Source organism: Homo sapiens, chromosome 10 (assembly GCF_000001405.40).
Source record: "Homo sapiens chromosome 10, GRCh38.p14 Primary Assembly".
Taxonomy (NCBI): Eukaryota; Metazoa; Chordata; class Mammalia; order Primates; family Hominidae; genus Homo; species Homo sapiens.
Window position 1 is genome coordinate 7,787,820 of NC_000010.11, and position 12,981 is coordinate 7,800,800.

The 12,981-nt window shown below is 41.6% G+C and overlaps 2 protein-coding genes and 1 long non-coding RNA gene across 11 annotated transcripts in view, besides 2 other annotated features; 1 reads left to right on the plus strand and 2 right to left on the minus strand.

Moving 5' to 3' along the window:
* KIN (Kin17 DNA and RNA binding protein) overlaps window positions 1-174 on the minus strand; it is a 37,032-nt gene extending 36,858 nt beyond the window's left edge. For all 5 annotated transcript variants that reach the window (NR_045609.2, XR_930485.3, NM_012311.4 and 2 more), the window contains exon 1: window positions 1-174. Coding sequence is in view for 2 of the 5 variants with exons in the window: in NM_012311.4 (NP_036443.1) it covers window positions 1-114 (114 nt within the window). In the remaining 3 variants the exon portion in view is untranslated.
* Window positions 127-446: an enhancer, noted in NCBI's record as "active region_2981". NCBI's record gives its function as "activates an Ori minimal core promoter by ATAC-STARR-seq in GM12878 lymphoblastoid cells {active_cell/tissue: GM12878}" and the evidence as "EXISTENCE:reporter gene assay evidence [ECO:0000049][PMID:35858748]".
* ATP5F1C (ATP synthase F1 subunit gamma) overlaps window positions 358-12,981 on the plus strand; it is a 19,625-nt gene continuing 7,001 nt past the window's right edge. For 3 of the 5 annotated variants that reach the window (NM_001001973.3, NM_005174.4, XM_047425254.1), the window contains exons 1-6: window positions 358-444; window positions 8,302-8,336; window positions 9,228-9,359; window positions 11,171-11,375; window positions 11,953-12,096; window positions 12,208-12,272. In NM_001001973.3, coding sequence (NP_001001973.1) covers window positions 389-444; window positions 8,302-8,336; window positions 9,228-9,359; window positions 11,171-11,375; window positions 11,953-12,096; window positions 12,208-12,272 — 637 coding nt within the window. In that variant the 5' untranslated portion in view covers window positions 358-388. The remainder of the gene's footprint in view (window positions 445-8,301; window positions 8,337-9,227; window positions 9,360-11,170; window positions 11,376-11,952; window positions 12,097-12,207; window positions 12,273-12,981) is intronic. The other 2 variants (NM_001320886.2, XM_017016290.2) reach the window with 1 other exon arrangement.
* Window positions 899-1,442: an enhancer, noted in NCBI's record as "H3K27ac hESC enhancer chr10:7830681-7831224 (GRCh37/hg19 assembly coordinates)". NCBI's record gives its function as "activates a minimal SCP1, AML or CMV promoter by ChIP-STARR-seq in primed H9 embryonic stem cells {active_cell/tissue: H9 hESC(primed)}" and the evidence as "EXISTENCE:reporter gene assay evidence [ECO:0000049][PMID:30033119]".
* LOC105376392 (uncharacterized) overlaps window positions 11,612-12,981 on the minus strand; it is an 18,933-nt gene continuing 17,563 nt past the window's right edge. Inside the window, exon 3 of the long non-coding RNA XR_001747356.1 lies at window positions 11,612-11,682. This is a non-coding gene — a long non-coding RNA (uncharacterized LOC105376392). The remainder of the gene's footprint in view (window positions 11,683-12,981) is intronic.

The following is a 12,981-nucleotide window of genomic DNA, read 5'->3' on the forward strand; positions in this document are numbered from 1 at the left end:
CTCGTCCCGGCACTGCTTCTGGCACATCTGGCAATACCAGCGTAGCTTCTGCAGCCCCTTGGACTTGATCCTGTTGGCGATAGCCTTGGGAGTAAGAAAATCCGACTTCCCCATGGCGACCACGGCAGCGATCACTTTCTGGACCCCAGTACTCAGCCAGCCGGAAACGGAACCGGGCTGGCGGCGGTGGGCGGGACAAATCCCAGCTGAGAGGCGGAAGGAGGTGGGGCCTGGGAAGACTGGGTTGCAACGGTCGCGAGACTCCCCTCGCCGTAGCGCGAAGAAACGAGACTGAAGAAGAGAGCAAGGTGGGAGGGGCGCGCTGGGGAGCTTCGGCGCATGCGCGCTGAGGCCTGCCTGACCGACCTTCAGCAGGGCTGTGGCTACCATGTTCTCTCGCGCGGGTGTCGCTGGGCTGTCGGCCTGGACCTTGCAGCCGCAATGGTATGGCAGCTTGCGGGAAGATCGGCAGGACCGCAAGGGATGGAAGAGCTTGGGCACGGGGCAGGGAGGAGGAGATGGGCGCGGGGGCAGATGTGGGGTCGCAGGGCCTAGCTGGGCCCCTGGCCCGTCGGAGGCGCCGGGTAGCGGGGGCTGCAGGAAGCGGCTCTGAGGTCGGGCAAGGTGTGCGCAGGGCCGGGCTCCGGCGGAGCAAGGTCCCGCCCGGTTCCCTGAGGTCGGAGGGCCACCTGGGACCTCGGGACTGCGGCCTGAGTCCAAATTGACGTCTGGGCGGTCTTGAGTTCCCTCAGCTAATCAGCACTTCCTGAGCTTCCACTTCCACTGCAAGCCAGGCCCCCAGTCTCAGGGCCTGCAAGGTGACGGGAGCCTGAGCAATAGCCCAGGGGAAGGTTAAGTCGTGCTTTTTGTCCTTGACGCCCTTTGAAACCCTGTAGTGCTGGACAGAGTGACCCTTTAAGATTCGATCGAGTCAGAGAGCGCGGCCGTCGAGCACCTCCCGTGTTGCAGACGCTTTGCTGGGTGCTGCAACAGCAAAGGCGAACATCCTAGATGCCTCTGAGGGTGGTTTTGGTGCAGAAGGGACCGTACAGATCTGTCTGAGGGCGGGGAAGGGAAGGACACCTAGCACTACCTTGAAACCACTTGCTGAAACCGTAACCCTGCAAGGTCATGAAATTGCCCCCAGGTCCTGGGGGAGGAGTTCGGTGGGCTTTTAAGTGGCATTTGTTAACTGACATGCAACTAAAGGGTGCCACGAGCCTCGAGAATTTTAAACATTAGTTCCGGGTAGGGGGACCTGGGCTGGGGGAAGTGCATATTAGAAGGCCCGGGAATGGGCAGGTAAAAGTTGGTTTGTGGGTGGTGCTGTTCAGTTTTGAAGCTTGACGGAATCTGGAAGAATTCCAGACACGCTGCTAAGGGGATTCTAGGCTGTGTCGTAGCAATTCCCTGCTCTTAACAGTGTGGAGGATTTCTAAGGCGCTACAGTGCTAAACTAGATTTTCGTATCCTAATTTATATGAAGGGACCATAAAGCATTAGTTGAAATAAATAGGTTTTTCATTAAGCAAATAACTGATAGTAATATACGAGATTTTCAGAATGATATCTGATGTGAATTAGCCACATAAAATTTTTGGTGGCTTGGCCTTGGAAGTCAGATTTTTTTTTCTCTAATATGGAAAAAGAACATTCATGGGAATTAAAAGGTCACTGTAGTTGAATTCTCAGTTGTATAGATTGTCCCACTTGTTAACCACTCAGCAGACATTAGCTGAGTGCTTCCACTCCACCCGGTGGTACTTGGAAAGTGCCCAAATGTGATGGTGAGCAAATAGATAAGGTCTCAGTCAGTTTCCTGGGACAGTGCCTGGCATGCAGTGGTGCTCTGCGAACATCAGCTCTCCTGGCCTTACCTTCTTGCCACGCATTAATGTTATCTGTCAGTATTTTTACAACCTTAGTTTCTAAGTTGATCTTTAAAAAAGTGGAAATAGTTTCTGAAACAAAGACAATATTTTACAAAAAATTTTAGAAATATCTTTTTTTAAAGCACCTGTAAGATAATTTGAAGCTCTTTTAGTGAAGGATTGTTTTAAATAAGAGCTCTCAGTTCAAGACAACTACTGTTAGGAGCTTAAATCGGAACCACAATCAGCATATAAAGGTCCTAATCCTGACCTTAATCCCTTTGGAATATTGGTTTTATAAATCATCAATCAACAGTGTTCCACTATGAAAGCATATTCTGTCTTCTTCTTTTCATGTATTCCTTCACTGCTGGTGCTTAATGTCTTTCCTTCCTCTTCTGCCATTTCTCTTTCCATGAATTATAATTGCCTTTTGAATTCAGAAATTAAAACCACTCCACAGAATTAATTTGGAAGGGGAAGAAAAGACCTTTGTCTTAACGAACCATGAAGAGGCATATTTCCATGCTTCTGTCTTGATTACTGGAAGTTTTTTAAAGTACAATTTGTTATTTTAGTTTTTGTTTTCAGAGAGGCTACCATGCTAACATAAAAACATTAGGCTTACTTAAATTCACAGTGGTTATTTTAATAGTTGTTAGGGTATCGGCAAAATACTCTAACGTTTTGAAAATTAAACCTTTTTTTTAAAGCAGCATATAAGAAAATGGAAATTAAAAATTTGAGAGAAAGAATCCCGGATTTTACTGTCTTCAAATTTGGGAAAAACATTTCTATTTCTTAGAGTTCAGTAGTCTCTAAAATGGAACTGTTTTTTAATAACGTGTCAGTAGTCATAAACTACAGATACCGATAAGGAGATGGCATTTCAGGAGAGAAAAGACAAATTGTCATCTGAGACCATGAGGGCAGATATTTACTAATAAATGTAAAAAATGTGAGGCAGCAGAGTGTAGTACTGTATGAAGAGAGAGACTCTGTAGCCAGCCCTGAAGGGCTGCATTCAGACGGCAGGGATTGAATTCTGATTGCCACTTAGCAGCTCTGTGACCTTGGGCAGGTTACTCAGTGTCTGTCCCACCAGTTCCTCATCTGTCAAATATATGCAATAAAAGTGCACAATTCAGTGGGTTAGTGTGAGGATTAGAGTATTTGCAAAGCATGTAGGACAATGGGGGAAATGCTGATAGGGATCCAAATGCTGTATATCAGTAGAGAAATGAAGAGTTTTTAAGTACAGTTTCTACATCAAATGTAATGTAAGAAGATTGCTTGGACTTGCGAAAAGAGGAAAAGAAGATGCAGTCGGGCTAGGCGCAGTGGCTCACGTCTGTAATCCCAGCATTTTGAGAGGCCGAGGCGGGCGGATCACAAGGTCAGGAGATCAAGACCATACTGGCCAACATGGTGAAACCCTGTCTGTACTAAAAATACAAAAATTACCCAGACGTGGTGGTACGCACCTGTAGTCCCAGCTACTCGGGAGGCTGAGGCAGGAGAATTGCTTGAACCCGGGAGGCGGAGGTTGCAGTGAGCTGAGATCGTGCCACTGCATTTCAGCCTGGCGACACAGTGAGACTCCATCTCAAAAACAAAAAAAAAAAGATGATGCAGTCATGGGTGTGGGTTAGGTAAGTGTGAAGGAGTCAGTTTTTGCTGGTGGCAGGTAATGGACTTTTACACGCTTAATATCAGAATTAGAGTCACTTCATAATTTTCGTTGAGAATTAGCCAATATTGCTTGCTTTTTAAGTTTTTATGTATCTTAATATACTCCTTAAAAATCTCTCAAACAATAGTTTCTTGGAAGGGTGTCATTCCTGACTCCCTCCTCCACTGCCTTCGTCAGCTGTTATAACAGCGCTGTGGAATCATGGTAGATAGTGGTAATCCACGGTCCATTTGATTCTCCCTCCACTGTGTTTCTTAGTCTCCCGAGGATCTCAGGACGTGCAATGATTCAGAGCTTTATCTCCTCATTTGCAAAACTTTTATATTTAATAAAGGAAGCTATCCCTAAAGAGAGTTCAATTAGCTCATCACTGTTCTTACTCAAATTGTACCTAACAATTAAAGTAGTAACATAGACGTCTTCAGAATTAAATGAAAGCTAAACATGAGAGTGCTTTAAAACACATGAAATTAGGGCAAATGCGTAGCATTATCACAAAAGATGCTACCTCTTCATACCTCTGACTTGGAGTACTTAAGGAAACCAAAACATTCTGTGTTTGTCCAAATATGGTATTCAATTCAAATTTATACCATATGGTATTCTCTGACTAGAAACTTGTGTCAGTTGAAGTGTCTGCCTAAAACAATAATATCCAAGAGTGACTTGTTATAACCAATAAATTTTGTGTTCAGGGAGAAAAGTCATTACTACACCAAAAAAGGAAGGTTGACCAAAAACTGGTATTACTTTTCAAGTGTGATTATGAAAAGCTGTTGTAGTAGAACAGTCATGGCAGGTAGTTTGTGCTCTGAAATAACAGAGCTTGTCAGGATTTGCCAGCTTTTATCTTTTCCTTTAGTAGATTCATTCTTAAAACCAAACCTAATATTTTTCGTGCTGTAGTGGGAGAATCACCTGAGCCCAGGAAGTTGAGACTGCAGGAAGCCATGATCACACCACTGCACTATAGCCTGGGTGAGGGGAGTGAGACCCTGTCTTCAAACCGCAAAAAACAAAGATCCACTCTTTTTGTTATACAGTTCCACGGATTTGGACAAATGCATAATGACATGTATCCACCATTACAATATCATGCCAAAGAGCTTCACTGCCCTAAAAATCCCTCCTCTACTCTCCCCAAAACCCTGACAACCACTTCTCTCAACTATTGCTAGATCCTCGGCTTTTCTGGCATGTCACATAGCCAGAATCATACAGTATTTGCTTTTTTTCAGATGGCCTTCTCTCCCTTAGCAGTATGCACTTAAGGTTTCTCCATGCCTTTTTATAACTTAATAGCTCCTTTGTGGTTTTGGTGAATAATAGTCCATTGTATGGATGTATCAGAGTTAGATTATCCATTCATGTATTGAAGGACATCTGGGTTGCTTCCAACTTTTGGCATCATGAATGAAGCTGCTTTACATGCTCTTGTGTAGGTTTTATGTGGACATAACATTTCATCTCAGTTGGGTAAGTTAAGACTAGGTTTAGGTTTGTAAAAAGCTACCAGAACATCTTCCCAAGTGGCTGTGTACTATTTTACATTCTGCCAGCCATCAATGAGAGTTCCTTTTGCTCCACATCCTCATCATCATTTGCTGGTCAGTTTCTTGGGTTTTATCCATTCTTGCAGGTGTGTAGTGATATCTTACTGTTTTAACTTGCAGTTCTCTAATGACATGATACTGAGCATCATCTTATGTGCTTTTTGCCATCTGGTTGGTTTTTGTTTTTGTTTTTTGAGACAGAGTCTTGCTCTGTCATCCAGGTGGAATGCAATGGCACGATCTCTGCTCACCACAACCTCCACCTCCTGGGTTCAAGCGATTCTTCTGCCTCAGCCTCCTGAGTAGCTGGGATTACAGGTGCCCACCAGCACGCCTGGCTAATTTTTTGTATTTTTAGTAGAGACGGGGTTTCACCATGTTGGTCAGGCTGGTCTCGGAACTCCTGACCTCGTGATCCGCCTGCCTCGGCCTCCCAAAGTGCTGGGATTATAGGCGTGAGCCACCGCACCTGGCCCTGCCATCTGTTGATCTTCTTTGGTGAAGTTTCCAGATCTTTTGCCCATTTTTTTTATTTGGGTTGTTTGTTCTCTTATTGCATTTTAAGAGTTGTTTGTTTTGGATACAAGTCCTTTATCAGAGATGAGTTTTAGAAATATTTTCTCCCAGCCTGTGGATTGACTTTTCATTCTCTTCACAGTATTTTTCACAGGACAGAAGTTCTAAATTTCAATAAAGCCCAACTCATTTTTTTCTGTCATGGATCATGCTTTTGGTGTTGTGTTTAAAAACTCATTGCCAAACCCAAGGCACCTGGATTGTCTCCTGTGGTATCTTGTAGAAGTTTTATGGTTTGGCATTTTATATTTAGGCCTGTGATTCATTTTAAGTTAATTTTTATTAAATTTGTAAAGTCATTGTACAGATTAATATTTTTGCATATTAGTGTCCAGTTGTTCCAGTGCCATTTGTTTGTTGAAAAGAATATCCTTTTTTCCTTGAATTGCTTTTGCTTTTTTATTACTGTAACTTTAGAGGAGGTCTTAACGTCAGGTAGTGTCAGTCCTGACAATATTGTTTGACTTTTCTAGGTCTTTGGCCTTCCTATATAACCTTGAAAATCAGTTTATTGATATCCACAAAATAGATATCAACTAAAATCAAACTTGCTGAGATTCTAATGGATTTTTAAAATTGTAAAACACATGGAACATGAAGTTTATCATTTTAACCATACAATTGTGTGCGGGCATTTTTAACTTCATACTCCAGTAGTTCAGGGCTGCTGCAGAGGAATGCAACTAGCTTTTTATATACACTAACCTTATATCCTGCAACCTTGTCATAAATGCTTATTGGTTCTAGGAGGGGCTATTTTTATTCTTTGGGATTTTCTACATAGATAATCATGTCATCTATGAACAAAAACAGTTTTATTCCTTCCCTTCAAATTTCTATGCCTCTTATTTTCTTGTCTTACTGCATTAGCTAAGACTTCCAGTATGATACTGAAGAAGAGTGATGAGTGGGGATTTCCTTGTCTTGTTCGCAATCTTATGGGGAAAGCTCCTAGCCTCTCCCATTAAATCAGAGATTTTGTGTGTTGTTTTTTTTTTTTTTAGCAGGTTGAGGAAGTTCTCTATTCCTAGTTTGCTGAGAGACTTTTTCATGACTGGGTGTTAGATTTTGTTGGATGCTTTTTCTGCACCTATTGATTGTATGATTTTTTCTTTAACCTGTTGACGTAATAGATTATATTATTTGATTTTTTAATATTGAACCAGCTTTGCATACCTGGAGTAAATCCCACGTAGTGATGGTGTATAATTATTTTTAATACATTGTTGGATTTGATTTGCTAATACACTGTTGAGGATTTTTGCCTCTAACCTATGCTCATGAGAGATATTAGTCACTGTCCACCAAGGTCATTCAATTAGAGAAACCTTAGATCATTCTTACTGCTTTCCTTTCTACTACGAATGTACATGTGAAGAAGTTAAATGCTTGCAAATCTAGTCTCCTATTGCTTTGCCAGCATCTTCATCCAGGTTCTTGAGGTCTCTCCTGAGGCTGTGGCAGCCTACATCCCCATGTCTTCTGTGTTCATCAAAACTCCAACCTCATTTTACGCTTGTCACTGCCATGTGAGATACTTTGCTGAAATACTAAACTGATTTGTGGGCTTATAAACATTCATTTCCCTATTAACCTACAAATAAGATTTAAACCAATTTGCTTTTTTTGATATTTAAAAATATTAATTATTTAAAGTAACAAACCCAACTCATGTGTCCAGTTTCCCCTTCTCCATTTCTCACTCTTTCCTGATCATGAATGCTCTTAAAATGACATTCTGTTCCCGAGAATCCCCTCCTCACATCTCTACTTTGTGCACACATTTCATCATGCTCAGTTCTCCTGTGTAGCTTTGCCTGCAAACACAGGCACTTTGTATGGATTTGAAGGCAGAAAGATCATCTAATATTTTTTAGCATGTCTTCCCCCATTAGGCCAGGAATTCTCTCATATTCATCTTTCACCAACATTTCATTTAAGCCTAATCATTTTGACTTCTGCACATTAGCATTTCAATTTTAAAGACTTGAAAAAAAATACTAAATGTTATGTAAATGTAATTTTTTATGAACCTTGTTTACAAGGTAACAATATGTCAGAGACCATGTCGTGTTTACCAGTGCCTGGAATTTAGAGCATCTTGGTAAATGTTTATTGAGCTAAATTGAAAAAGTTAAGAATCAGTTTATATAAACTACTTTTACACGTGTAGTCATGTTCGACTATATCATTGACTCTGTTACTGGAAGAGGTTGCTGTGAACTAAGGAAATTTTTAGAGTGGCTGGCCTTGATTCGAAGTATAGTTGGGCAGCTTAACAAGGGGAGGGGCTTTTCTGTCATGGAAACAAGATAAGCAAAGATATGGAGGTGGGACTAGAGCATGTGTGAGTCAATAGAGCATGTTGACTTCTGGGAAGGTGGTGGTACAGACAGGCCAAATAAAAGGAGGCCTTCAATACAGGGATTTGCGCCACTACTAAGGGATTTAAATATATGTCTATTCATATACATTCTGAGTCCTGTATTTGATAGATTGTTTCTTTATGGGGTATTCTTTAAATAAATATATATTAACTGAAAGTTTTTCTTGTATAATGGAACTATTTTTCAAAAAACTGAAACATTTTTAAAACTTTTATCCTCAGGATTCAAGTTCGAAATATGGCAACTTTGAAAGATAGTAAGTATGTTGTTTGTCTCAATATGTGAATTGAGAAAAACTAAATTTTGACAAATACAAATACTTTCAAAAATATACTGCTTTAGCCCATTGTGTATTTGATCAAAACTGACCAAATGGATTTCCATTGTATGTTTGGGACATTGGACTTGTTCTGAAAAGACCAGTAAGAAAGGACACCTGAGACAGCTATGTTCTGTTGTTTGTAGAATGATCATGATATAACTAGAAAAAATTATACCAGTGTTGGTGTAGGTGGGTGTATGTGTGGGAAGGGGTAAATCATGTTATATATAAATAATGTTATGGAATATGTGGTTAAGGCAACTTTCAATACCATTTAATGTTTTAAATGTATATTATTGTCTTATGTTGCCATTTGCTTGTCCTAAGTAGTAGCTAGTTTTGCCTTCCTTTTATTAGTACTATTTCTATTTTTTTTTTTTGGAGATGGAGCCTCATTCTATCACCCAGGCTGGAGTGCAGTGGCGCCATCTCGGCTCACTGCAAGCTCCGCCTCCCGGGTTCACGCCGTTCTCCTGCCTCAGCCTCCCGAGTAGCTGGGACTACAGGCGCCCGCCACCACGCTCGGCTAATTTTTTGTATTTTTAGTGGAGACGGGGTTTCACCGTGTTAGCCAAGATGGTCTTGATCTCCTGACCTCGTGATCCGCCCACCTCAGCCTCCCAAAGTGCTGGGATTACAGGCGTGAGCCACCGTGCCCGGCTATTAGTACTAGTTCTAATATTAAGACTGGTTTAGCATCGTGCTGTTTATTGTTTATCTAAGCGCTCATTATTCTGCCTTGCACTTCAGAAAAATATGTCAATAAATTCACAAGGAAGTTATACTGTAATTCCTTTGTCTTAACACAGTACTTCTATTTTTCAGTCACCAGGAGACTAAAGTCCATCAAAAACATCCAGAAAATTACCAAGTCTATGAAAATGGTAGCGGCAGCAAAATATGCCCGAGCTGAGAGAGAGCTGAAACCAGCTCGAATATATGGATTGGGATCTTTAGGTAAGGGAAGAGTGTAATTCACAAATTAGGAAGAACTGTTTCACACAAGGAAGACTACTGATGACTTACATTTAGAGCTTACAGTGATGTCAAGCCTATCTGAGCACTTGCCATGTACTTATTTTTCATCTACATCCACTTGACACGTAATGATAACAACCCGTGTAGGTAGTACAGGTAGGGACTGTTAGAATCCCTGCTTTCCAGTGAGAAAAACTGAAGCACACAGAAGTTAAGTAACTTGCCTAAGATCACATATAAAAGGATGAAGAGCCTCTGTTTGGACCTATGTGGTTTGGTGTCGAGTCTGTGTATTTGTTAGCCATTATACGTGACCATGTTAACTTTTAAAATATTCTGAAATGTTCCCAGTTGTTAAGTATACCATCAGAAGAACTTGGAAACCGTGCGTTAGATGTAAGGGCTTAATTTCATCCTATGACCTTGTAGTGTGGCATTTTAGGACTGCAGCGGGGGCGGGTGAGGGGCAGTGCAGTGGAGAGCTGGCCTTGTGGTCATGGATATGACTCATGATGGTGTTTTGAGAATCCGAACGATGTTGAAGCAGGAAAAGCAGCTGAGAACCTCCATTTTCAAGATACTTAATCACCATTCTTATCTTTTCAAAAGCATGAAGACATTTTTCCTTCAGAAATTTATGTAATCCATCCTTAATTAGTCTTCTTAATGGAAAAGAGATGAGATATGACAGTTTAAAAAGAATTTATATTGTGTTTTTAGATGCTTTTATACTTGTTTGATTATGAATTCATCTTGGAAATAAAGTTGTAAAGAGCTGGAAATGGGAAAGAAGTTTCTATTTTAACTTGTAATTACATTCTTTCTCTTAACTTTTTTATGATCATGCTGTCTTATCCTGAGTTGAGGCTATCTAAAAGAATTTTTAACTTAAGGAAGATTTATGCATATTTGATAGTAAAGAAGATCATGCAGTGAACCCCCTATTTATCTACCAAATCCTCAGTATCTCAACTGACAGCTGTCCTTTGTTTTTTTATGTGTGTGTGTGTGTTTTGTTGTTGTTTTTTGTTTGTTTTCTTTTTGTGTTTTTTTTTGAGATGGAGTCTCATTCTGTTGCCCAGGCTAGAGTGCAATGGTGCAATCTCAGCTCACTACAACCTCCCCCTCCCAGGCTCAAGCGATTCTCCTGCCTCAGCCTCCCCAGTAGCTGGGATTAACAGGCCCCCACCATCACACCTGGCTAATTTTTGTATTTTTTTTTTCTGAGTCGGAGTCTAGCTCTGTCTCCCGGGATGGAGTGCAGTGGCATAATCTCAGCTTGCTGCAAGCTCTGCCTCCCGGGTTCACGCCATTCTCCTGCCTCAGCCTCCCAAGTAGCTGGGGCTACAGGCGCCCGCCACCACGCCTGGCTAATTTTTTTGTATTTTTTAGTAGAGACGGGGTTTCACCGTGGTCTTGATATCGTGACCTTGTGATCCGCCCGCCTTGGCCTCCCAAAGTGCTGGGATTACAGACGTGAGCCACCGTGCCCAGCCAATTTTTATATTTTTAATAGAGACGGGATTTCACTACGTTGGCCAGGCCGGTCTCAAACTCCTGACCTCAGGTGATCCGCCCACCTCGGCCTCCCAAAGTGCTGGGATTACAGGCGTGAGCCACTGTGCCCGGCCTCAGCTTACAGCTGTCCTAAGAACACCTGCTTACACTAGGCAGTTGCCAGCTAAATTTAAATGCGTATTTTGGAAATAACCAACTGCTTTGTAAATTAGAGATTTATTGTATTTAGTGTATTGCATATAAAAAAATTACTGCTTTTGTTTGTTTTTAAGCTCTGTATGAAAAAGCTGATATCAAGGGGCCTGAAGACAAGAAGAAACACCTCCTTATTGGTGTGTCCTCAGATCGAGGACTGTGTGGTGCTATTCATTCCTCCATTGCTAAACAGATGAAAAGCGAGGTTGCTACACTAACAGCAGCTGGGAAAGAAGTTATGCTTGTTGGAATTGGTGACAAAATCAGAGGCATACTTTATAGGTAATTTAAATATATATTGTTTATTTTCATAAAGATGTAAGCACGAATAAATCTTCTCTCAAAAGTTTTGACAAACTCTCAAAACCTTCATCAATAACAAGGTATATTCTTCAGGGCCTTTTTTGGTATATTCACAAGGGGGTGTTTGTTTCCTTTTTCTTTTTTCCAGGATATATTGGAACATTTCTGTTTTCCTTCCCCTGTTTTCTACCTTTGCTTCTTCATCCGGATCATAAGTTGAATGCCATGTGAATATCAAAAGCTATCAGCATTAAGCCAAATGAGGCATCTGAGGAGCTGTTACAGCCTGGAAATGTTAGCAATAGTTCATTAGGATTAGAAGGAGAGGAATAAAGGGGAAAAGAATATAAAACAGACCTCATTTTTAGTTCTTAGTTCTTTGCAGGTGCTGAAGGAAAGGAATGATGATAGTGTGTGGAACAACTCAGGAAATCACCACCACCCATACCCCAAAAGACCTGATCCATGGTGACAATGTTTTCTCCTGCCTGTCCCCTGTGCTCTTTCAGCAGAAATCTTATTAAACTAGCTATGTGAGCTCTTGCTTTTCTTATAGGACTCATTCTGACCAGTTTCTGGTGGCATTCAAAGAAGTGGGAAGAAAGCCCCCCACTTTTGGAGATGCGTCAGTCATTGCCCTTGAATTACTAAATTCTGGATATGAATTTGATGAAGGCTCCATCATCTTTAATAAATTCAGGCAAGACAGATTTAGAAATCAAAGCTTTTTTATGTTCATGCTTTTGTTCATATTTTGAAATAACAGTTTAAAAATTATTTTGAGATTTACATTTGTTTTTGTCAATTCTAGGTCTGTCATCTCCTATAAGACAGAAGAAAAGCCCATCTTTTCCCTTAATACCGTTGCAAGTGCTGGTAAGTAGTTTTTCTATGATACATATTTTTTGGCATATAGAATGGAGAGATTTGTACACTAAGGCAGACAGTGTCAAGATATCTGGTGGTAGCTATAGCAAATGATTTGGGGCTGTTTCTTTTTTAGATGGAATCTTGCTGCCTCCCAGGCTGGAGTGCAGTGGCACCATCTCGGCTCACTGCAAGTTCCGCCTCCTGGGTTCACACCATTCTCCTGCCTCAGCCTCCCTAGTACCTGGGACTACAGGCACCCGCCACCAAGCCTGGCTAATTTTTTGTATTTTTAGTAGAGACGGGGTTTCACCATGTTAGCCAGGATGGTCTCAATCTCCTGACCTCGTGATCCACCCGCCTCGGCCTCCCAAAGTGCTGGGATTACAGGCATGAGCCCAGCCTTTTATTTTTTTATTTTTTATTTTTTGAGACGGAGTCTCACTGTGTCACCCAGGCTGAAGTGCAATGGCATGATCTCGGCTCACTGCAACCTTCGCCTCCCGGGTTCACGCCGTTCTCCTGCCTCAGCCTCCCAAGTAGCTGGGATTACAGGTGCACGCCACCACGCCTGGCTAATTTTTGTATTTTTAGTAGAGACAGCATTTCACCGTGTTCGCCAGGCTGGTCTTGAACTCCTGCCCTCAAGTGATCCACCTGCCTTGGCCTTCCAAAGTGCTGGGATTACAGGCATGAGCCACTGCACCCGGCCGATCTG